The sequence below is a fragment of the Homo sapiens genome, chromosome 3 (assembly GCF_000001405.40).
Source record: "Homo sapiens chromosome 3, GRCh38.p14 Primary Assembly".
NCBI classification, from domain to species: Eukaryota; Metazoa; Chordata; class Mammalia; order Primates; family Hominidae; genus Homo; species Homo sapiens.
This window is the reverse complement of record NC_000003.12, coordinates 193,923,410-193,948,220: the sequence shown is the minus strand read 5'-3', so window position 1 is coordinate 193,948,220 and position 24,811 is coordinate 193,923,410. Positions and strand designations below refer to the sequence as shown.

Genomic DNA, 24,811 nt, shown 5'->3' with positions numbered 1-24,811 from the left:
ACAAGGTCAGGAGATGGAGACCATCCTGGCCAACATGGTACAAAAGTACAAAGGTACTAAAAGTACAAAAAAATTAGCTGGGTGTGGTGGCATATGCCTGTAGTCCCAGCTACTTAGGACGCTGAGGCAGGAGAATCGCTTGAACCTGGGAGGCGGAGGCTTCAGTGAGCCGAGATCGCGCCACTGCCCTCCAGCCTGGCAACAGAGCCAGACTCCGTCTCAAAAAAAAAAAAAAAAAAAAAAACCACATATCTTGTATCTTTTGTATTTTTAGGGGGGAAGAAATTTGGGAGGAAGTCATTTTTTATTCTCTCAGTGGTTTATTTGCTGCTTGTCTCATCTTTGAAATATTTTCTGTTATCTACTTTACTGGCGAGACTCTAGTCCAGGGAGTGAACACTCTGGCTTAGCTCATCTTTTCCACCTTTAGCTATTCACTTCTTTTCTCATATGTTCCAGAAGAAACTCCCAAGTAGCAAAATTGATGAAGAGACTTTATCGCCTCTGCATAACCCCAGATTGCCTGACGTGTTTTCTCATGTCTTGTTCTTTTTTTCCTCGCTCTTGTCCTCCAGGTTTGAGTGCAATGGCTTGATCTCGGCTCACTGCAACCTCCGCCTCCCAGGTTCAAATGATTCTCCTGCCTCTGCCTCCCAAGTAGCTGGGGTTAAGGTGCCTGCCACCACACCCGGCTAATTTTTGTATTTTTTAGTAGAGATGGGGTTTCACCATGTTGGCCAGGCTGGTCTCGAATTCCTGACCTCAGGTGATCCGCCCGCCTCAGCCTCCCAAAGTGCTGGGATTACAGGCATGAGCCACTGCGCCTGGCCACATCCTGTTTCTTTAAAACAGAAGGCTGAAAGGTCTAGCCATCTATCCAAGAACAATGGCCAGCCCCTCTGTAGGCAGGCTCTGAGAGAGACGTCGATGATGCCAGACTCTCAATGGGGAGGGTAAGTTTGTGAGTGTGGACAGCGGTCTCATCGGCTGCAGGGAATTTTGAAAGAGGGATGGGGGACTGCAATGACTCACTATATTCTTCAAAGCCTTGCCTGTACACCAGGTGTAGGAGAGAAGAGGAGGTGGTGACAAGTACATGTGGTCATCTATCCAAACTCTCATGTTTCAAAGGAACATTAATTTCATTGTCCCCAGAGAGGAGAAGTAAATAATGAGGTATTGTCTAAGTCAGGTTGTTTCCTGCTGGAAGCTAGAATTCTGCAAAGTGTTGGACTTCGATCTAGACTTGGCTTTAGGTCTGTATGAGCCACTTGTGGGGAGCGTGGCTTTTGGCAAGTTACTTTACCTCTTGAAAACCCATTTCCTCTTTGTAAAAATGGGATAATAGAGCATGTCTTTTTGCCTTTAAAGGTTATGCAACATGCACTCATATGTTAATTGCTGCACTGTTCACATAGCAAAGACAGGGAATCAACCTAGGTGCCCACCACTGGTAGATTGGATCAAGAAAATGTGGTACATATACACCATAGAATACTACACATCCATAAAAAGAGTGAAACCATGTCCTTGCAGCAACATGGATGCAGCTGGAGGCTGTTATCCTAAGTAAATTAATGCAGGAACAGATAATCAAATATTGCATATTGTTTCTTAGGCGTAGGAGCTAAACACTGGGTACTCGTGGACATCAAGACGGTAATAGAAACTGAGGACTACTGGAGGGGGAGAGGGGGACAAGGGTTGGAAAACGAACTATTGGGTACTATGCTCAGTACCTGGGTAACAGGGTTAATTGTGTCCCCAAACCTCACCATCTTGCAATATACCCAGGTAATAAACCTGCACACGTACCCTCTGAATATAAAATAAAAGTTGAAATTATAGAAAAAATAAAAAAATAAAAAAGACTGTGAGATATTGGGAATGGAAATATTTTGGACATTGAAGAGTGCATTTTGAAAATAATGCTCTAATGTGAGAATTTTCTCCCGAGCGTTAACGAACTCACCACAGAGGCAACCTTGGTTATAGTGAAGGGGTCTGAGGAACAAGGAGAAAGTACACAAGATGCTCCCTCAAGGAGGCAAGAGTATACAACAACGTCTTGATTGATTATCCATTTTAGAGAGATCTATGGTAAATGCTCACGGGCTTTGTCTGGCCCCTCCGCATACCTCTCTCTTTGCAGAGTTTTGGAAACTCATTTCCACCCTCGCCAAGGCAAAAACACACTGGAAAGTGAAGCTGAGATTCAGTCATATTAGAAGGGGGCACTGGCCTCAGTACCCCCACCTGGGTTTGGGTCTCAGCTCTGCCCTTCTCTCCCTGCAGGCACCCGGGTAGGAATCTTCCCTCTCCGGGCCTCCGTTTCCCATCCGTATGTTGGTTAGAATATTATTAAGGTCCTTTTCAGCACTTGAAATGGATTCTGTGCTGTCCCAAGGCATCCAGTCAATCCCAGCTTCTAGTTGCTGCAGTGACTGGGTCACTGGTGCAGCATCTCCGGTCCACTCACAGCAGCAGTCAGGAACTTATGTTGCTGTGCTGATTTTCTGGTCCTCGTCCTGTTTCCTCACAGTGGCATGACGGATCGGACATGCCATGCGACTGCATGGTGGCTCAGCTTTCCTGGCATGCAAGAACGTGCAGGGTGCATACAGATGCCATGTTTTCTAACCATCGCAACTTTGAGGAGGCAGCAGGAGATGAGGCTTAGGAGGGAAGTGATTGCTCTACACAGCAACCCACGGTGGTGGGAAGAGGGGTCAATTGTAAAGTTGTAGGCCACCGGCTGAGACCTGCTGAGTGATGAGCATTACTCAGAGAGTGGGTCCAGTTCCCATTTTAGACCCAAAGTAAACTCTCCAGGCTCTGTTGTAGTTGGCTAATGGCAATCCCCAAACCACAGGCTCCAGAGATATGAGCCAGTGTTCCAGGAGAAGCCACCCGCAGGAGAGGGGAGGATGAAGGGAGAGAGCCTGGCTCAGAGTCCTGTGCTTTGGGGACTGATTGCTTCAGATGGAGGCATAGTGCCTCCTTTAGTTCAGGGTTCAGTGCTAAGATCTCAAGCAAAATCCAATCCACGTTCACAGATGCGCATATGGGAAGGGTGTTGAACTCGTTCTCCCCAAAGTCAACATCAAGAGAACCGAGGGACTGGTGGAGTCACTTGGAAGTTCTTCATTCTTTTTTTCTCAAGCTCAGAAAGACCAGCATACCACTTAGAGGCTTGGTTTGGACAGCTCTCCAAACCCCTGGTCAGATTGCTCTCTTGCAGCTAAAACACAGGGTTAGCTGAATTTTCTTCCAGACTTCATTGCAAACGATTATCTTGGCATATTATCTGTAACATTTCCTTTGGAGAGTTCCTCCATGTTAGAAAACAAAAAGTTTGCCATACCCTGTGAATGACTGAATTAAGAAGTAAAACCTCAAATCAGTCAAGATGCATGAAGATTTGAGTGACTTGTGAGCATGAATTACATGACAAAGACCTCATGAGGATGCCACGGCTAGGAAAGACGAGACCGTAGGATAATGTCGATCTGGATGCCTTTGCGACTTGTGAAATCTGAGAGCCCCACCTTGACGAGTCACCTGTGCAATCCCTTGCCCTAAGGTACGATCATACTTGAATCCTCAGTCTTCAGACTTTGTAGTCCTTGAACACACATGCACAGAAAATACACATTTGTATGCAATATTGCACCCTCCCCCATAACTCACTGCAATTAGGAGTTGAATTCCCCAGTTTGCTGGACTAAACTTCGAGACCCAGCAACAGGGGCTCTTGAGAAGGAAAAAAGGAATTCCACACTGGTGAGGTTAGGGCTGCAGCCTTTGAAGCGAGATGGCTTCGTGGAGGCTGCCTGCTTTAGAAACGGCTGGGTCCTGACGCTCTCAGGGGGGAGCTGGGAGAAGCGGCGTGGAGAAAACCACTCAGAAGCCCGGAAGACTGGAGCGGGCGCTCGCGCGGGGCTGGGATTTGTGTAGTGCTGTGGGTTTTACCTTCTGAGCACCCCATCTGCCCTCTCACAGGCACAGCAAGGGCCCTATAGTTGCTCTATTCTCCACCCATCTCTGAAAACTTTCCTTCTCTGATGCTACTTCAAAGCCCCCTGGGAAAGCCAAGTTGCCAATTAAGCCTCTTTGAGGCAGGTTCTCATTCCTTCCCCACTAATTGAAATGTTACTCCTTTTACTAAACCCATAAACCACCCAAACACAACGGTCTTCCTCATTTGCATTGTAACAATGTCCCTAATGTGCTTCCAAGAGCTTTACGTAAAGGCGAACCTTTTCTCCTCTCCCTGTATGAACGGTCAAAAGCAATTCCGAGGCAAAGGCCTTCATTTCCATCCCCATACAGCTGCTCATTAGCTCAGGTGGAATAAATTCCTTTTATTCTGGATTCATTTCCCAGGATGATAATGTCTTTTTTGTCTCAGACCAGTGTTCCCAAACTAGGCCTTAATTGCTGATAGTAATTGAGTTAATACATATTTACAGCAGGGTAAGGTTAAAGCAGTTCTCCTGTAGTTTTACTGGAGACATTTGATTTAACCTGCAATAAAATCATTAACAAGTTGTTCAGTGTTCATTCCGTCTGTCCTTTATCTTGTCTGCTCCTTGGGAAAGCTGGGTGAAGGCAGATGGCTTTGGCGCAGGCTCAGCTCTCAGGCTGCAGAGACGAGAGTGCCCAAGTCTCACCTCCTCACCTCCGGGTCCTCCTGTATTCAGAGAGAAGGACCTCTCCCACTGAAAGCAGATAGCCCGGGGCAAGGCTATGCAGCTCCCCAGGCGTCCAGCCAAGGAGCGCAGGCGGGAGGATGAAAGCCCATCAAAGCCACAGGGCTGGGCCAGGCTCTTGAATCAGCTCCCATCAGTAGCTCCGGCCCAAAGTGGCCCACAGGCGAGGCACCGAGCCGAGGTGTCAGGCAACGTGGTAGTCCTGGCCACTGGTGCATGCCTAGAGAAATGGGCTGAAAACAGGGTAGGAGGAGGGACCAAGGGCCGAGGGCAAAGCCAGGGAAAGCCAGGGAAAGCCAGGGGGTTTCCAAATTACACCCTGGGGGGCCTGATGGTTTGCTTGTGAAAAAGCCTTCTTGAACCTTCTCTCTCACCTTCTCATAGACAGGGAGAAATGTGGAGGCCTCCTTATCCAGGGGTTCCAGGCCTCTGTATCTACTGGAGTGAAATTGGCTTTACCCAAAAAGTGAGGCTGGCTTGAGTGCACTGCAGGCTGACGGCTGCTCCCTTCCTCCCTCACTTGCCTCGCCTGGGCCTCCGGCTGCTTTTCTATTCAGAAGGAGCCCAGCCTGAAATAAATGGTCCTGACTGGCAGAGATAGCTGGCAGTTCCCTAGAATCCCCACTGTCACGGGCTTCCTGGGTCCACAACTAGATTATACTTTCTAGTCCCCTTTCCAGTTAGATGTGGCTGCGTGACAGACTTCCAGCTAATGGTGTTTGGGCCAAGGGAACAGTGACACAGGCCATCTCCATGCTCTGCTCTCACTGGTGGCCTGGGGAGAGCAAAGATGACCCTGGGGCAAACGTTGAAAGCAGCAGAGCTGCGGTCAGCTCAAAAATGTCAATCATGAAAGAACTGCTGTCTCACCCTTCCCTGTGAGTGAGCATGCCATAAATGTCACTGTACACTTAGGGGACTTTTTTTTTTTTTTTTTTTTTAGATGGAGTCTCCCTCTGTGGCCCAGGCTGAAGTGCAGTGGCACGATCTCGGCTCACTGCAACCTCCGTCTCCCAGGTTCAAGCGATTATCCTGCCTCAGCCTCCTGAGTAGCTGGGATTACAGGCTCGCGTCACCATGCCTGGCTAATTTTTGTATTTTCAGTAGAGACGGGATTTCTCCATGTTGGCCAGGCTAATCTCGAACTCCTGACCTCAGGCTCTCCGCCCGCCTCATCCTCCCAAAGTGCTGGGATTACAGGCGTGAGCCACCGCACCCGGCCGAGGACTATTTTTTGTAGCGGGGAATCTACTAAACAGTCTGAAGTACACAGCACCATGAACCGGCATGGCTTTTGCCTAGAATGCTCGTCCACCAAGACTTTACCTGTGCACCCCTGAAGACCCGCTGAAATTCCAGCCCAGCTCTGAAGGCTTCCCATGACCAGAGGACACACCAATCCAGCCTTACACTGTGATTATTCCTGGTCTCCTACCACAGCCGCCTTTGCCTACCTCTAGGCAGATTGAGCCAAGCAGGAATCAGGCCTGACCACCTGAGTAAGATTTAGAAACTGAGCTTTAAGCTAAAAGCCTCAAAACCAAAGGTGGTTCCTCAGAGACTATGATTTTCTAATTCGTCGTTTTTGAAATCAGGCTCAAGAACCCGGGATGAGGAGGAAAAACACGAAGCTGATTTCTGGAGCAATTTGGCATGTTGGAGAGAGATGGCCCGTTCTTCTTACAGACGAAGAGACTGAGGCCCAAAAGCAGGGAGAGGCGAAATCAGCGCCCAGGCCTCCTGCCTCTCAGCCTGGGGCCCCTTCACTGCCTTCTTTAAACCTGACGACAAAAGCAAGGCAGGTGGAATGCGCTGGTATCAAGGCTCCCTTCACATCTCCTGGTACATCCTTTTCCTTTCACCACAACGTGCTTGTCTTCAGTGCACCCTGCTTCAGTGTTCTCAAATGGTATTCCCAATCGCCTTCCATCTCTATGTGCATTTCATGGCAAAGTTCCTGGTGCTGACACTTCCCACGTGAGCCTACTGGGAAGTGCCAACATTGTTCAAGGAACATGAACACGCGATAGAGAGGATCAGGACAGGCAGGAAACATAGCAACAGCGAACCTCTATTTCTTTGTAGCACCCTTCTCTTCGTGGGAAGAGAAGAGCTTGGGGAGGGATTCCATCTCCTATTACGGAGAAATAAACTGAGGCTCAGAGAGGTTGGGTGATTTGCACAAGTCTGGCGTGTGCATTTCTTCTTTTTGTTTTTTTAGATGGAGTCTCACTCTGTCGCCCAGGCTGGAGTGCTGTGGCTCAATCTCGGCTCACTGCAACCTCTGCCTTCCGGGTTCGAGCAATTCTCCTGCCTCAGGCTCCTGAGTAGCTGGGATTACAGGCATGCGCCACTAGGCCCAGCTAATTTTTGTATTTTTAGTAGAGAGGGGGTTTCACCATGTTGGTCAGGCTGGTCTCGAACTTGTGACCTCAGGTGATCCTCCTGCCTCGACCTCCTACAGTGTTGGGATTACAGGTGTGAGCCACCGCGCCTGGCCCATTTCTTCTGATTCCCATTCCAGTGTTCTTCCCATGGAGGAGTCTGCTATCAGAAGGAGAAGTTTCTCTTTTCTATGTCATAAAAGAAAGCGACACCAGGCTACAGTTTGAAGCTATATTTTATCCTTTAAAATTCAATCAACCATATTTTCACTAATTATCTCCCAAAGCAGAGGCCTATTTTCCAGTGTTAATTTCTTAGAGTCTAGAGGCGTGCTGATCAGAACTTGAAATCTGACCTAACCTGTGGGTTGACCTAGCTTTCCACAATGCAGCGCCTCCGTCAGCGTTTTTCCTCATAGTTGGAGCTGGTTCAAAACCCACGTTTTCTGCTTTCACATCCTTCCTTGCAGCAAGCTGCAGGGGAATCAGGAGCCTGGATGCTTGGCTCAGGAGGGGTCCGTAAGGCCATATAGTCCAATTCTTATTTTACTACTGGGGGGCCATAAGCCCACAGCAAGCCTGTGGCAGGGCATGGGGGTCCCAACTCTCCAGCAGAAAGTGCTTTATGGGAGAATGTGGGAGATGGAATCCCAGATTGGTTAATTTTCCATAAAGGAAAAGAGGAATAAACATTTTCTTTAAATCCCATAACCTAGAACAAGGAGGAGGAAGCTACCCACATCCACCATTTTCCTTTGGGAAATATGTTGCATGCCACCCTGTCTACACATTTAGAAAATTGTCACTTTTTCAGATGTCGATGCCTGTTTTCCCCTCGCATGGCTGCCTGCATCCTTCGGACTCACCTCTTCTGTTTTGTCAGCAGTTCTTTTTCTGTTAGTGAGTGTGTATTTGGGGGAGCGGTGGGAAGGGTGTGCATGGGTCGTGGGTGGGGTGACAGTCACTCAGACACTGGAGAGAGAGGAGAGAAAGGAGAGGTTGACAGGGTTGGCACTGGAAGTGCCTACCAACAGCTGTTCTTCAGCATTTATTGCATGCTTTGTGTCATGAAGGAATCTTGCTTCATATATACATACTGTATAATTCACTAGGTTCTTTTTCCATCTTTTTTATTCTTAAAAAAAATCTTTGGAAAGCAGAGACCTGGAGAGCAAGAGCTAACATATTGGGAATACTACAATATTCTACATGATATGCTTCTCATTTTCACATAGAAATGAGAAAACTCTTTCAATCCCTGACAATGGCACGGGACAATCATATCTTGATTGTCATGGTGAGGAGGTCTACGCTCAGAGGAGGACCTTGTCTAAGATCACACAGCTAGTAAGTGGCAGAGGCAGGATTCGAACTCAGATCTGTCTGAGTCAAAGTCAAATTTCTTTCCACAACATTAAACTGCCTCCTAAGTACATAGAACTGTTAGCAAAGAAGAGCAATTGTCCCCAGTTTATAGCTTGAGAAAATGGAGTCTGCAAGTCTCAGAGAAGAATAAAGTCCTATAGTTTCTAATCAACAAAACTGTGACTAAAATTCCAACCTGTGTTAAGTGAAATGGTAGGTACGGGAGAACTCCAAGGTATGGCCCCACCCTCAAGAGACCAGCCATCCATTGAGACCTGTGACTGCTACTGGTGTCTCAACAGGGAATGGTTCCGAATGAGTGCGTTGGTGAGGCACAGGTTGGGTGGTATAAATAATGAAGGCTGAAGAGTCTGAGGTGGTGATCAGTGCTGAGTCCAGACTGCTGCCCTGTCTGCATATCTGCTAAAATGGTCTTTGCTGGAGGCCATGGATCCTCTTACATTATTTATCAGAATCTCTTATCATCTGGAAATAAGAAAACCCAAATCAATTGTTGACAAACATTTTGCAGTAATTGCATCTCCTTACTAAGGGCTGGACTATCTCTCTTTGAAGAATGAAGCTGGAGAGTGTAATTGCTGGTCAGTTCTTCTCCTCACAATGACCTGAGTAAAGACTCTGAGGCCAGGGAGAGTGGGAGCCTCTCCCCTCAATGTTACCTCCAAAAGGAACAGGGGATAAATACCCTTGTAAGACAGTTGGCCTCATTTTGTGGATGTGAATTCAATGGCTCACAGCTCCATTCTACTCATCCTGGCTCCGGCTTAAGTTTTAAAAACTAATTCTCTCTGCATTAATCTGAAAAGATCCTTCAAACAAAAGCTCAACATCTGAGTCTATTTACCGAGTGTGCAGCTGTGTCAATTGGCCAAGACAAAGCGAAGGCTTCCTGGTCAGCCCACAATGGGCGGCAGGTAGTCTTGCAAACAGAGAAACACAAGGCAGGGGCCTTTCACGAGTCAGCAAACCTCCTTCCAACAAGGAAGAGCTGGAGCAGAGGGGTCAGGAGGATGGAGTGCCGCCCCACCCCCACTCTCACCAGCACACAAGTGGGACTGAAAGGTAGGATCTGTAAGCCCATCAATTAGGGCTATTAAAAAGGTAATTAGCCCTCTTCTATGGAAACCAAGGACAGAGATGTGAAAAGGGGGACATTCATTTCCATGTGGTTACATTTTAATGTGACCAGTGCACTTTAGTCATGAAACGAGGTGCTATTGTTGAGAATATCACTTGGTTGGTCTTAATGGGAAGGTGCTACTAAGTCAGTTAAGGAGCTATCTTACATTTAGAATAGTAGCTATTTTTAATTCTTGAAAAAAATATTTTTCTGCTATCAAACTCTAGATTCAAATCAAATGGCCAGGTTTGGGAAGCAAGGGAGGAGTTGAGAGTCATTTCTTTTCTAGTTTCCTTACCCAAAAGAATTGTGGCAGGAAATGAAATTTTAAAATGTCAACAAGGAATAATTTGTCTTGGATTCTGAGAAGTGTGAAATTTAAAATTAATGTTTCTGTTTCCTCTCTTTTTAGACGTGTGTGGGTATTTCGGTAATAAAGCCCAAGAAAGACAGAAAATGAATAGAGGAAAGATCTTTGTTATAATGAGATTTGAAGACAGTTATTCAAACGGACCTAAAGCATATGATGCTCTGTGCAACACTGGCCCCGTTCACAATGAATGCACTTACACGTATTTACATTGCCTCTTTCTGTGTGTGTGTGTGTGCGTGCATGCACGGTGGTAGCAGTGGTGGTTGTGTATGCACACCTGCAAGTAAAGGATAATTTAATTTTATTTCTCTACCATCTCATGCTCTCCTTCCCCATCACTACTCCCGCTACTTTTTTGAGGTAAAATTGTGCATACAATGAGATGCAAAGATCTTAAGAGTACAGTTGGGTGTATCACATCCCATTAATCCACATAGTAATGAAGAGATACAATATTCCCATCACATCAGAAGTCTGCTGCCTCCATCCAGTCAATACTACCCTCCCCAGGCAATCACTGTTTTGATTTTTATTACTATGGATTCGTTTTGTCTGTTCTTTAATTTCATATACATGGTATCAAACGGTATGAATAGTTTTGTATCTGGCACTTTTCACTCAAAATATTACTTTTTGAGATTCATCCATGATGTTGATTGAGTGTATTAGTAGTTCATTCTCTTTTATTTGTAAGTAACATTTCATTGTATGACTATACCACAGGGTATCCATTCTTGTGTTGATGGACATCTGGGTTGTTTCCAGTTTCGGACTATTATGAATAGAGCTGCTATAAACATTCTTGGATAAGACTTTTTGTGGGCATATGTTTTTATTTCTCTTCGGTCATTATCTAGGAGTGAAAATGCTGGCTCATAGATTAGATGTATCTTTAACTTTGTAAGAAACTAAGAAACTGCTAAACAGTTTTTTAAAGCGGTTCTACCACCTTACACTTCTAACAGCAATGTAATGAGTTTCAGTTGTTCTGCCTCCTTACAGACTTGATGTTGTGAGTCTTTTTAAATGTAGCTGTTCTGATGCGTATTTAGTAGTCATCTCATTGTGGTTTTAACTTGCATTTCTCTGATGACTATTGATGTTGAACTCTTTTCTTGTATGCTTTTACCATTCCCATATCTTCTTTCATGAAACTTCATTGAAGTCTTTTGTCCATTTTTATTAGTTTATATTATTATTAATTTGCAAATATTCTTTACCTTTTCTGGATAAACTATCTTCTAATACACAGGTATTGCAAATATTTTCTCTTGGCCTATGGCTTTCATTTTCATTTTCCTAAGGGGTCTTTCTGATGAGCAAAAGTTTATTATTTTGATGAAGTCTAAGTTTTCACATTTTTATTTTATAGTTAGTGTTTTCTGTGTCTCATCTTTGGGATACAGAAAAAATCTGTAATCTTTGCTCTACTCCAAGGTTGTAAAGACATTCTTCTGTGTTTTCTTTTAGCAGCTCTTTAATTTTAAATTTTGTGATTGAACTGATAATTCATCTCAATTAATTTTATATGTATGGTATGAGGCAAAGATTGAGGCTTATGTTTCTCCCAACATTTATCCAGTACTTCTAGAACCATTTGATAGACTTTCCTTTTCCCCGTTAACTGCTCTGATGCCTGCATCATAGATCAGCTGATTGTATCTGTGTGGTTCTATTTCTGAGCTTTCTATTCTATTTTTTTTCTTTTTGGTCTGTCTTCATGCCAATATCACATTGCTATGATTTTTGTATATTTTTTAATGTCTTGAAATCAGATATTGGGGCCCCTTGAATCTTGCTCTTTTTTTGAAGATTCTTTTGGCCATGTTAGATATCCTTTGCATTGTTATATAAATTTTAGAATCAACTTCTCAATTTCTACAAAAAGCTTGTTAAGATTTTGATTGGTTGTGTTGAGTCTGTGAATTAGTTTAGTAAGAGGGAAATTTAATGCCTTAACAATATTGAACCTTTCAATGAATGAATATGCTATTTCTTTCTATTTATTTGTTTTCCCTTATTTTTCTCAGCAAGATTGTATAATTTTTACTGGCGAGGTCTTGCACATCTTTTGTCTAACTTACTTCTGAATATTTTATGTATTTTGATGCCATTGCAAATGACATTTTGAAATTTTACTTTCTAATTGTTTGTGGTTAGTATGTCATAATAGAATTGACATGTGTGTATTTAACCTTGTAGCTTGTTCTGTTGCTAAATTCCCTACCTAGTTCTAACAGTGGCTTTATGTATCTCTTAGTATTTAATGTATGTATATATATTCACATGATCTGCAGATAAAGAAACTTTTACTTCTTTCTGTCCAATCTTTACCCTTTTTATTCCACCTTATTGAACTAGCAAGGGGTGCCAGTACAGTTGCTAAACAGGCAGTTAAATTACTGATGATTTACCTCAGCATTGTGGAAGGTGTGTTAAGGTTTCTTTTAGCATGGGTCTATTTCTTATCCTATGGCACAGTCCTTTTTCCTAAGGCATGGAATTTGCGGTGTGAGGTGCTCACCTAAGTGTCTCCCCTCTGCTTGGCTGGCATTCCAAAGTCTCCCAACCCTCAGGACCTCTGGTGTTTCTATTCAGGTTTCATCCCCATTATATCTGTTCTCTAATAGGCCTAGTGGAGTTTTACCCTGTGCATGTAGAGTCCTGTTCTCAGCCAAGAACCCTGGAGGACTGCCTGATACAAACTTCCGGCAACCTTCTTGCACAGATACTTCTCCTCGGGTACCTTGCCCTGCAGATTCCACCACTCCCGCACTCCCAAGCTCCAATCTCTGCCTCCTCCACTAAACATGCTCACCGTCCTCTGCTTGTGCGCCCCCTCCTTGCACGGTGACCTGGTAACTGTCCACGGATGGAAAGCCAGATGGCATGCAGGGCTCACTTCATGGGCTTCCCTTCTTTCGAGGATCACACCTCTGCTGTCCATTATTCTATGCCTGAAAATAATTGCTTCAGATATTTTGTCCTGTTTAATCATTGCTTGTGGTGGAAGGCACATCCAATACCAGTTTACTCCATCATGGCCAAAAGTAGATTTTTACCCATAGGTACTTTTGTTAAACCGGCCATCCATACCAAGAACACATCTGTGCCATCTCTTTCATTTCTCATGTGCTTACAGAGGGCAGGAATCATATCTTGAATTTAGAAAAATCACTGGGCAATTCTTATAACACTTGTCTTCCAACTTCCTCAACAAACAAACAAAAACAAATGAACAAACAAACAAACAAACAAACAACAAACCGTATTTTCTAAAAACTCAAGCCAGTCCACTAGTTGTCCTTACTAGACCAGCATTTCCTATCTGTGTTCTGAGGAATGCTAGCTCCACAAGAGGATAAATGGCAGTCTGGGTCTACAGAGTTTCCTGATCAGATATTTTGGAAAATGTTATGTCTGATTTTTTCCTGCAGGAAAATCACACGCACATTAACATATGAAAAAGGCTGATATGTTCTGTTGAAAAATTTCATCCACTTAACGTTGCCCAAACTTAATCAGTGCAACTAAGTCTTGAGAGAATATTCTCTAATATTGGAAAGGTGTGCTCTTTCACATCATAAATTATCTGACTTATTTATTTTCCCCAAAGTTTTGAAAAAATACTATTCAGAGGGCAAAAAGAGAGTTTTGATGTTTGGCAAGTCAGTCAAAATTACAGATGCTGATATGATATTTAAGCTGATCATTTCTGATTGGTAGGGCCAACAATTGAACAGATGAGTTAAATACCTCAGAATCTATGTGTCTAGTTTCCACATCCCAATTGTGCAAACAAAATGTGATGGGAAAATGGACTTTTTCTTTTAAAGCTCTGATCAGCATATTTATGTTTTAAAGGCCTAGAAATCTGGAAATATAATGCTAGCCCATAAAATCTTACCTTCAAAAGTATTTCATATATACTCTATTTTTAAGATAATAACCCACCTCTATAAATTTTATTAATCATTTATGAACCCCCTAAAATACTTTTGGAAACATTTTCCAGCTCAAACACCTTTTTAAAACACCTTTTTAAATGACATCATGTCTCTTGGTGTATATTGTTCTATAATGGAGATCAGGAAAGCTTCCCCACCCCTCCAGAAAGTGACTGCTGAGAAGTTTGTCATCATCCTCCCTAAATGTAAGCACCTGGAAAATCTGAGTGCTATGAAACCCCAAAACATAGCTCTGAGGCAGACAGCTAGATTTAAAAACCTCTCCCTTGGAGAATCGCCTCAGGAATAGCAGAAGCATAGTCCACAATCCTGGGGAACTTCAGGGATCCCTGAAGGCTGAGCCACAGTGAGAGGCTTTGAGCTGTACTCTAGAACGTCTCCCAGGAGGAAAGACTCTCCATGAGTTTCTCTACTGAGCACGCTGTCTGCTTCCCTTCACCTCCCTGCTGCTGTCGGCTAGCTCCACATTCTGACCTACAGGCAGAGGCAAAGTGGATGCACACTTATTCATTCATCCAATCCATTCAGCTATTCATTAGTTAATTCAAAACTGAATTATTAAGTGCCACTTAGGAACCAGGCACTATACCAGAGTTGCTAGGATGCAGTGGTGGACAAAACTCAATCCCTGCCCTCATGGAGTTTACAGTCTAGGGAGCAAGGAGAATGACCAGCCAACCAAGGCACATGGTAAGAAGTGCTACAGGGAGGAATGAGTCACATTAAGAGGTTGGAGAGTGGCTGGAGAGTTACATAGGATGATCAGAAGGGTTTTCTCTGAGGAGGTGACATTTGTGCAGTAGTATGAATGAGAGGCTGAGTCAAAGAAACATTGAGGGGAAGAGCTTTCCCAGCAGAGGGAACAGTAAGTAAAAAAACCCTGAGGCTGGAGTTTTTGGTTGAATCCAATGGCTCCTAAGCACTAACTAGTTGCATTTGACTCACCAAAGAAGCTTAAAAACAAATACTATTCCTGGTATCCACAGTCTCAGAGCCCAATTCAGTAAACTAGAAGTGGGGCCTGAGAACCTAGATTTTTAAAAAGCCTTCCCAGAATATTCTGATGCTTAGCTCAGTTTAGGAAACTCTAATCTAGTCCAACGACCTCATATCACAGAGGAAGAAATTGAGGTCCAGAGAGAGGAGGACGTGATTTAGCTTCTGGTCACAGAGTTACATAATCATAGAGCCAGGCCTAGAAACCATATTCCCACATTCCCAGTCCTCCCTGCTCTCCTATCCCCTCCTCTCCCCTCTTCTCCTCCTGCAACAGAAGAGGCCACTAGAAATGTTTTTCTTCTAATAATATTTGTTGTTGTCATTATTAATATAAATAATAACTACCATTCATTGAAGATTTATCCCAGGCACAGTTCTAAGCACTCTTCGTATATTAACTTATTAAATCCTCACAATAACCTTATAAGAGTGGCATGCTTATGATTCTCACTTTGCAGTTGAGGAAGCTGGTGGAGAGGTTGAGCAACTTGCACCAGTCACACAGCTGGCAAACGATGGAGCCAGGCCACCTTCCTGCAGAGTTTATGAGGCTGGACTCCCCTTTGGGGCTGCCTCGTGCAGACCAGGGCAAGATTATTACTGCTGTTATTGATTCTCATCAACAGGAGCTTCAGTTTCTCATCCTGTGCACATTGACAGGGACACCGGCCATATCATGATGCAGACAGCTGGGAGTGCACCTCAAGGCCATGGTACAAGTTCAGGCAGTGGATTCTGTCCCTTTGGAGAGCAACTGTGGTCTGAACATTACTTATTTATCTTTTAGAAACTTCAGGTGATTGAAGTTTCCTTTTGGTGATTTTTTGAAGTCAGGCTCTGCTGAGAATGCAGAGGGAGAAGCTGGTGTGCTTGCTGCATGTTTATAGCCAAGCTTGGCACATCATCTGAGTCATAGCTGCATCCAAGTAACACATCACTAGTATGTCTTCCCTGTGGCCAGGATGACTATGTCATTGATCTCACTGTGCGAGACCCTGAGAGCAAGGTTGAAAGATAAAACAGGATGATCCCTGTCCTCTAGGAGCTCACGAATAATTATAACTCCTGGCAGAAAGTAGCAGTGTTCCATTAGAGTGCTGGAGGTTAGAGGGCCATGGTGGTGAAGAACAGCTTGTGCCTCCTGAGAACAGGAAGAATTTTGTTGGATCTGGACCTTGATTTGACAGGTAGTGACAAAGGAAGAGATCTGCAGGACGAAGGAACAACCTCAGCAAAACCACAGTCGTGTGACATGGCATGGCAGTTTTGGGGAAGGGAGATTAAAAAAATATAGTTTTTTTTGTTGTTGTTTTGTTTTTTGTTTTTTGAGATGGAGCCTCACTGTGCCACCCAGGCTGGAGTGCATTGGTGCAATCTCGGCTCACTGCAACCTCCGTCTCCTGGGTTCAAGTGATTCTTCCACCTCAGCCTCCCAAGTAGCTGGGATTATAGGCATCTGCCACCATGTCTGGCTAGTTTTTGTATTTTTAGTAGAGACGAGGTTTCACCATGTCAGTCAGGCTGGTCTCCAACTCCTGACCTTAGGTGATCCACCTGCCTTGGCCTCCCAAAGTGCTGGGATTACAGGTGTGAGCCACCACTCCTGGCCATATATAGATGTTATTATGTGTACAGCTAGTATATTTCTATAAGCTAAGGGTTTAAGGTGAGACAGAGTCCATATATAGTTTTACTAGCTTGTCAGTGTGTATTATCCTCCAAATGATCATACCAATAGTATAGAGCATACTCTGTTGGGATCCCTGTCAAATAGAGGGAGAGAGTACATGGTTTACTAATTACTTTATTCTCAAAATACCATGGTGCTATTTTATTTTTATTATTCTTCATAAATTTTTTAATTGTTTTTTAAATTTTTTGTAGAGATAGGGTCTTGCTATGTTGCCCAGGCTTGTCATGAACTCCTGGCCTCAAGCAATCCTCCCACCTCAGCCTCCCAAAGTGCTGGGATTACAGGCATGAGCCACCATGACTGGCCATTTTTAAAAATTATTCTGTATAGGTTAATAACAGATTGTATGATGGGGTTACAGAAGGAGGGCATTTATTAAGGAGGGTGAGAGGCTGAATTAAAGTGACCTCTTCAATCTGTTCCAGCATCATTGATGTGCTATGTGTATACCTATTACTAGCAATAGGTCAGAATTTAAGTATTCATGTGTCTGTGCTACATTGCTAAGTCTTCTGTGATGCTCTGGTATCTAGATGAGGTACTGTTGTGGATCCCTCCTAGGCCTTAATTGTCTATTTCACACCACTGCCTTTAGAAAGGATGAAAGAGGCAAAGAGCCTGAAACTTCAAAATCAGCTGTGAAGACAGGACAGGACACCACTAAGACACAGGGGTGCACTGGAGCTGGTTTACAACCAGCTCAAGAGAGACAATTGTTAAAATTTTAGAAGTTTTGTGGGTCAGTTGTTAAATACAGCCATTATTAAAATTAAATTTTATGGATTTATAATTAAATAAATTATATCCTCAAAAAGGAAACAAAGGCATGCATGTAGTCCCCATTAACTCGGTAGAGGCTGAGGCGGGAGGATCATTTGCACCTAGGAGTTCGGGCAATATAGCAAGACCCCATCTCTCAAAGTAGGTGAGTAAATTAATTAATTAAAAAATGAAAAGGAAACGAATACTCAAAACTCATTGCTTCCAGATTATTTTACTATATTCTACCATTACACATACTCTTGAGGTTATTAGCAGCTATGGTAGCTACATGGCAGACGGAGACACTGCAGAATGGTGTCCATCTCTTCTCAGCTGCATTCAGTGATGTCGTGTTGGTCATGTGACATCAGTTGTGGTGTGAGTATTTACACTACGGAAATGGACAAGTGCTAGAAACCTGAGGGTGATTCATTGTTTTGCTGGTATCTTGACTTAAGAACATGATGGAAAAATATTAATAATGCAGATTAAATTTAACAGTATGTTTTGTCCATGCCATTACATGGTGAATAGCACAAAAAGTTGAGGAAGTATTCTTCTAGTACTCAAAAACTATTACCCAATTCTGCAAAGAAGCTGCATATCATTGATGAAAGAGTAAACTTCCTACATACCTTTATTGTTTCACTTCTGTCTTACGTATTCACTTAAATGAAAATATCAACCAACATTCATGCCAGAGCTCCAGCTGTTTGTCAGCTGCTCACATAGATTGGCTACATATTCAAAGTTTCAGCAGCAATCAATGAAAGCCTTTTGTGAGTCTCACTTGGCTGTATAAAATTTACCGTAAATGGTATTACGATGGGTAATTTTATGTGTCAAAGTGACTGGGTGTAGTGATACCCAGATAGCTGGCAAATCATTTTTTCTGGGTGTGTCTGTGAGGGTGCTTCTGGAAGAGATGAACATGTAAATTCTTAGATGGAGTAAAAACGATTCACTTTCACCAGTGTGGTAGACATCACCCAATCCACTGAGAGCCCTCCTCAAGAAAACAAAAAGAAAGAAGAGGAGCAAATTCTCCTTCTCTTCTTGAGCTGAAACATCACCTTCTCCCGCCCTTAGACATCAGAGCTCCTGGCTTTCAGGACTTCAAATGCCAGGACTTACACTAGCACCCTCGCACCCCCCATTTCTACTCCCTACATCCCAGCCCTGCTCTCAAGACTTGGAGTTACACCCTGATTCTAAGCCCTTCAGACTCAGACTGAACGACGCCACTGGCTTTCTTGGTTCTGCAGCTTGCAGACAGCATATCTTGGGACTTCTCAGCCTCCGTAACTGAGTGTGAGGCAATTCCTACAGTAAATCCCATCTTATATATCAAAATCTCCCTATTGCTTCTCTGGAGAACCCTAATACAAGTATTGTGTGTTATTATTTTTAAATTGTGTTGTACATGTTCTTTATATTAGTAAAGTTTACAATAAACTTATGTCTATCTGTCTATGTACCTATCTGTATTTTTCCCCAGATATCCAATTGTTAAGTCTTTGACACTATACCAGTGCTGAGACATTTCTTCCTTGTAAGTTGACAGGAAGGAAAAATAATTCTCTTGAATAACACAAATCAAACAATCTCTGGAGAGCAGAACTGACTTGGTTTGGGTGCAGAGCGTTTCCTGGGAGCTCATGAAAAGCAGGTCACTAACTACACAGTTGAATGAGTCATAGTTTTCTCCTTTCTAAAACACAATGCGCTTTATTCAAGAAGCTCAAGATTTTAGCAATAGCAGCTCCTCCCAGCAGCCTCTCAGGATGAGAGTATTAGATGCTTCACTCCCACCTCTTCTTAGTGACTAGCTCCGGGAGCCAAAAGTCTGGGGTTACTATCTCCTAAATTCTTCCTCCCTCATTTTAACCAGCCACAGCAGCCCTCTTCCTGTTCTTCAGGCATGCTGGGGATGCTCCTGCCTCTGAGCTTTGCATCTGCTGTCCTCTCTGCCTGGAACAGTCTTCCCCAGATACTAACATGACTCATGCTTTTTATTCAAATGTCACCTTCCTGACCACCTGTATTAGTCAGGGGTCTCTAGAGGGACAGAACTAACAGGACATATATACATAAAGGGGAGTTTATTAGGTATTAAGTTACATGATCACAGGGTCCCACAATAGGCTGTCTGCAAGCTGAGGAGCAAGGAGAGATAGTCCAAGTCCCAAAACTGAAGAACTTGGAGTCCGATGTTCGAAGACAGGAAGCAACCAGCATGGAAGAAAGTAGGCTGGGAGGCCAGGCCCGTCTCTCCTTTTCATGTTTTCCTGCCTGCTTTGTATTTGCTAGAAGCTGATTAGATTTTGCCCACCAGATTAAGGGTAGATCTGCCTTCTCCAGTCCACTGACTCAAAAGTTAATCTCTTTTGGCAACATCCTCACAGACACGCCCAGGAACAATACTTTGTATGCTTCAATCCAATCAAGTTGACACTCAGCATTAACCATCACAAGTCCACCCCTGGTCAACTTGAACTCATACACATCTCATGAGATCACACATAATCTTCAAATAAAGAAAATAATAAGGTCATAATTATACCTAACATAATACGACTATCATTGGTACAATGATAAATGCACCAATCCCCAACCCAAATACTATTACATAAAGTTAACAATACTTAAATGCTGATATGAAGTCAATAAATCTTATGTCACATGATAAAGGAAAAGGAAATAAAATAAAGATATTTTCTTAGTACAAGCATATACCTGGACAAACATATTTTTAGCAAAAGAAGGGAAGAGGAAATACTCATGACAATTACAGTCCCTGTTTCTGCAGCTGGTCACGTGGTCATAGCTGGTATCAATGACCACCTTCTTCTACTACCCATTCTGTATTCCCTTTGCCTTCAGCAAGCACCTCAGCAGGTTGTGGTTTTTTCCCTGGTGGAGCGACCCAAACCTTCATTCCTGAGAGGTCTGGGCCATGTGTAGTCCTGCCTGGATTAGGCTGTTGTAGTTTCCTATTGACCTTAATCACAGAGGATGGTAATATCAAGAGATGCCCTAATGGTTCTCCTGTATTCCATGCATACTCTTCCTTACCTCCGTTATGGAGTAGTAGGCTGATTTCAACTTGATAATCTGGGTCAATCATCTCAGCCAACACTGTAATTCCCTTCTTAGCCTGTTGACCTAAAGGTAGGAGGAGCCCAAAGTGTCCAGGTGGCAATCTTAACTTCCAGTTTAATGAAATCGTTGTTGTATCTCCTGGTGGCAGCTTTCCTCCCTCTGGAACTAGGACCTCTAGGCCAGCAAAATGTAATGTCGTGGGAACAGGAAGCAGAAATTTTGCTAGTGGATCACTAGGGGTGATGGTGAGTGGTGCCACTTCTACTTCTGCACCTTGATTCTTGGACCCATGAATCCTGGCCATGGGAGAAACAGTACCATATATATATAGGACGCTGATTCAGAGCATACAGGGCCTTCTGGAGAACTTTGTCTCAGCCCTGCAAAGTATTGTCATCTAGTTGGCATTGTAATTGAGACTTCAAAAGGCCATTCCACCATTCTATCAATCCAGTTGCTTCAGGATGATGGGGAACATGGTAAGACCAGTGAATTCCATGAGCATGAGCCCACTGCCACACTTCTTTAGCCACAAAGTGAGTGCCTTGGTCAGAGGCAATGTTGTGTGGAATACCATGACAGTGGCTAAGGCATTCTGTGAGCCCACGGATGCTAGTCTTGGCAGAGGCATTGCATGCAGAATAGGCAAACGCATATCCACAGTAAATGTCTATTCCAGTGAGGGCAAACCTCTGCCCTTTCCATGATGGAAGAAGTCCAATATAATCAACCTGCCACCAGGTAGCTGGCTGATCACCCTCAGGAATAGTGTCATATCGAGGGCTCACTGTTGGTCTCTACTGGTGGCCACTCAGCAGTGGCCGTAGCCAGGTCAGCTTTGGTGACTGGAAGTCCATGTTGCTGACCCCATGTGTAACCTCCATCCCTGCCACCATGGCCACTTTGTTCATGGGCCCATTGGGCGATGACGGGGTGGCTGGGGAAAGAGGCTGAGTGGTGTCCACAGAACGGGTCATCCTATCCACTTGATTATTAAAATCCTCCTCTGCTGAGGTCACCCACTGGTGAGCACTCACATGGGATGCAAATATCTTCACGGTTTTGACCACTCAGAAGGTCCATCCACATGTCTTTTCCCCAAATTTCTTCGTCACCAATTTTCCAATCATGCTTCTTCCAAGTCCCTGACCATCCAGTCAAACCATTGGCTACAGCCCATGAATCAGTATATAATCTCACATCTGGCCACTTCTCCTGCCATGCAAAGTGCACAACCAGGTGCACTGCTCGAACTTCTGCCCACTGGGAAGATCTCCCTTCACCTCTATCCTTCAGGGATGTCCTAGAAAGGGGCTGTAGTGCTGCAGCTGTCCACTTTCGGATAGTGCCTGCATATCATGCAGAACCATCTGTGAACCAGGCCCTAGTCTTCTCTTCCTCTGTCAACTGATTACAGGGAACTCCCCATGAGGCCATCAGTGCAGGCTGGGGAAGAGAAAGCAGGGTGGCAGGGGTGGAGACCATGGGCATTTGAGCCACTTCCTCATGTAACTTACTTGTGCCTTCAGGACCTGCTCGAGCCCGATCACATATATACCACTTCCATTGGCTGATGGAATGCTGCTGTGCATGACCCATTTTATGGCTAGATGGGTCAGAAAGCACCCAGTTCATGATGGGCAGTTCAGGTCACATGGTGACTTGATGACCCACAGTCAAACGTTCAGTTTCCACCAAAGCCCAGTAACAGGCCAAGAGCTGTCTCTTGAAAGGGGAGTAGTTTTCTGTAGAGGATGGCCTTGCTCCAAAATCCTAGAGGCCTCCACTGGGATTCACCTATGGGGGCCTGCCAAAGGCTCCAAACAGCATCCCTATCTGCCACTGATGCCTCAAGTACCATTGGACTTGCTGGGTCATATGGCCCAAGTGGCAGAGCATCTTGCAAAGCAGCCTGGACCTGCTGCAGCGCCTTCTACTATTCTGGACCCTACTTAAAACTGGTGGCCTTCGGGTCACTCAATAAATGGGCTGAAGTAACACACCCAAATGAGGAATGTGTTGCCTCCAGAATCCACATGGGCTCAATAGGCATTGTGCCTCTTTCTTGGTTGTAGGAGGGGCCAAATGCAGCAACTTATCCTTTGCCTTAGAAGGAATATCTTGACAGGCTCCACACCACTGGACCCCTAGAAATTTTACTGAGGTTGAAGTTCCCTGAATTTTAGTTGGATTTATTTCCCATCCTCTGGCATGTAAATGTCTCACTAGTAACTCCAGCGTGTTTGCTATTTTTTCTCACTGGATCCAATCAGTATAATGTCATCAGTGAAATGGACCAGTGTGATATCTTGTGAAAGCGAAAAGAAATCAAGGTCTCTCTGAATAAGATTATGACACAAAGCTTGAGAATTGATATACCCCTAAGGTAGGACAGCAAAGGTATATTGCTGGCCTTGCCAGCTGGAGGCAAATTGCTTCTGGTGGGCCTTACGGACAGGAATGGAGAAAAAGGCATTTGCCAAGTCAATGGCTGCATAGCAGGTACAAGGAGATGTGTTAATTTGCTCAAGCAATGAAACCACATCTGGTGCAGCAGCTGCAACTGGAGTCACCACTTGGTTAAGCTTACAATAATCCACTGTCATTCTCCAAGATCCATCTGTGTTCTGCACAAGCCAAATGGGAGAGCTGAACAGGTATGTGGTGGGAATCACCACCTCTGCGTCTTTCAAATCCTTGATGGTGGCACTAATCTCCACAATCCCTCCATGGATGTGATACTGTTTTTGATTTACTATTTTTCTAGGTAGAGGTAGCTCTAATGGCTTCCATTTGGCATTTCCCACCATAATAGCCCTCACCCTACCAGTCAGGGAGCCAATGCAGGGATTCTGCCAGCTGCTAGGTATGTCTATGCAAATTATACATTCTGGCACTGGGGAAATGATCACAGGATGAGTCTGGGGACCCACTGGACCCAACGTAAGTCAGACCTGAGCTAAAACTCCATTAATTACCTGACTTCCATACGCCACTACTTTAACCGGAGGACCACAGTGATGTTTTGGGTCTCCTGGAATCAGCATTGGCTCAGAACCAGTGTCCAGTAGTCCCTGAAATGTCTGATCATTTTCCTTTCCCCAGTGCATAGTTACCCTGGTAAAAGGCCAGAGGTGTCCTTAGGGAAGGATGGGAGAAAGATTCACTGCATAAATTGTTGGTAATGTAGTGGGGTCCTTCCTCAAGGAGACCCGGCCTCCCCTTCATTCACGGGGTTCTGGGTCTGTAAACTGGCACAAGTCTGGAAACTGATTGAGGGGCTGTGATTCTCTGTTTTTATAATTCAAATTAGTCTTTTGTCTATTCAACCTAGAAGTTTTCTGCTTGTATAAAGCAAGTAGGAATGCAGTAGGCTTCCTATCAATTTCACTTATAGGAACACTGTGATTAATTAGCCAATGCCAGAGCTCTACATGAGTTAGACTATTCTGATTGCCATTTGCCTCTGCTGTCAATTACAGTAGCTATGCCTACCTTACCTTTGATGGTTGAGTGCTGCCACTTGGCCCCTGCCACCTTGGGATCTGATTATTCCCATTGTATTTAAATTTTGTAGTTGAGTGACTGTGGTTCTCACCATCAGATCTGACATAGAGAGAAGAGAAATTACAGTGCTCTTCAAAGATGCAGGTGCTGCCCTCACAAATCTATTTCACAAGGCATTGGTCAAGGGTATATCTTCTGTACCCTCCCAGCTGGGATGAGTAGGTCTAAAGTGACTAATCTACTCCACCATCCCAATCTCCCTAAGCCTTTGGATCCCTTCCTCTACATTAAACCAAGGGAGATCAGGCATTTCCAGCTCGCTCACAGTGGGCCATCTTTTAATCCACATTTCACCTATCCAAGCAAATAAACTATTAGAACCTTTTTTAACTCCCTGAGGTGCAACATTAAATGCAGAGTCCCTACTTAGTGGGCCCAAATCAATAAATTCAGCCTGATCCAACTCTATGTTCCTTCCACCATTATCCCACACCCTTAATATCCATTCCCATGCCTGTTCTCCAGATTTCTGCCTATATAAATTACAGAACTCAAACAGTTCTTTTCAAGTGTAGCATACCTCCTCGTGGGTCACATTCTCAACCTCATCTCCTCACCTCTAGAGACCCACTGGGACTTTAGTCCAGTTATAGGTCTAGAAGCAAACAGAGGTGTTGGGGGTGGCTCCTGAGGAGAATCAACATTATCCTGCCTGGAAACTGCCTCAGGGGAGGCCATCGCTGTTGCCTCAGGCAGCACAGGGTTTATTTCCTCAGATAAAGATGGAAAGGCTGATGGCAGCATG

At 44.2% G+C, this 24,811-nt stretch overlaps 1 long non-coding RNA gene across 2 annotated transcripts, besides 3 other annotated features; it reads left to right on the top strand.

Annotated features, from left to right (window-relative positions):
• Positions 3,532-5,193: an enhancer, noted in NCBI's record as "VISTA enhancer hs1344". NCBI's record gives its function as "enhancer in: forebrain[8/8]" and the evidence as "EXISTENCE:transgenic organism evidence [ECO:0001131][PMID:17130149]".
• Positions 4,061-4,711: an enhancer, noted in NCBI's record as "NANOG-H3K27ac-H3K4me1 hESC enhancer chr3:193661299-193661949 (GRCh37/hg19 assembly coordinates)". NCBI's record gives its function as "activates a minimal SCP1, AML or CMV promoter by ChIP-STARR-seq in naive H9 embryonic stem cells {active_cell/tissue: H9 hESC(naive)}" and the evidence as "EXISTENCE:reporter gene assay evidence [ECO:0000049][PMID:30033119]".
• Positions 5,367-5,661: an enhancer, noted in NCBI's record as "tiled region #4772; K562 Activating DNase matched - State 5:Enh, and HepG2 Activating non-DNase unmatched - State 8:EnhW". NCBI's record gives its function as "activates a minimal TATA promoter and a strong SV40 promoter by Sharpr-MPRA in K562 cells, with weaker activity in HepG2 cells {active_cell/tissue: K562 | HepG2}" and the evidence as "EXISTENCE:reporter gene assay evidence [ECO:0000049][PMID:27701403]".
• LOC105374287 (uncharacterized) lies at positions 5,656-18,868 on the top strand. Of its 2 annotated transcripts, XR_007096292.1 has the most exons (3): positions 5,656-6,621; positions 8,257-9,544; positions 10,015-10,787. It is a non-coding gene; the product is annotated as an uncharacterized LOC105374287 (long non-coding RNA). The 2 variants fall into 2 exon arrangements; XR_007096293.1 differs by having other exon boundaries at positions 5,656-6,554; positions 8,257-18,868.
• The last annotated feature ends 5,943 nt before the right edge of the window (positions 18,869-24,811 follow it).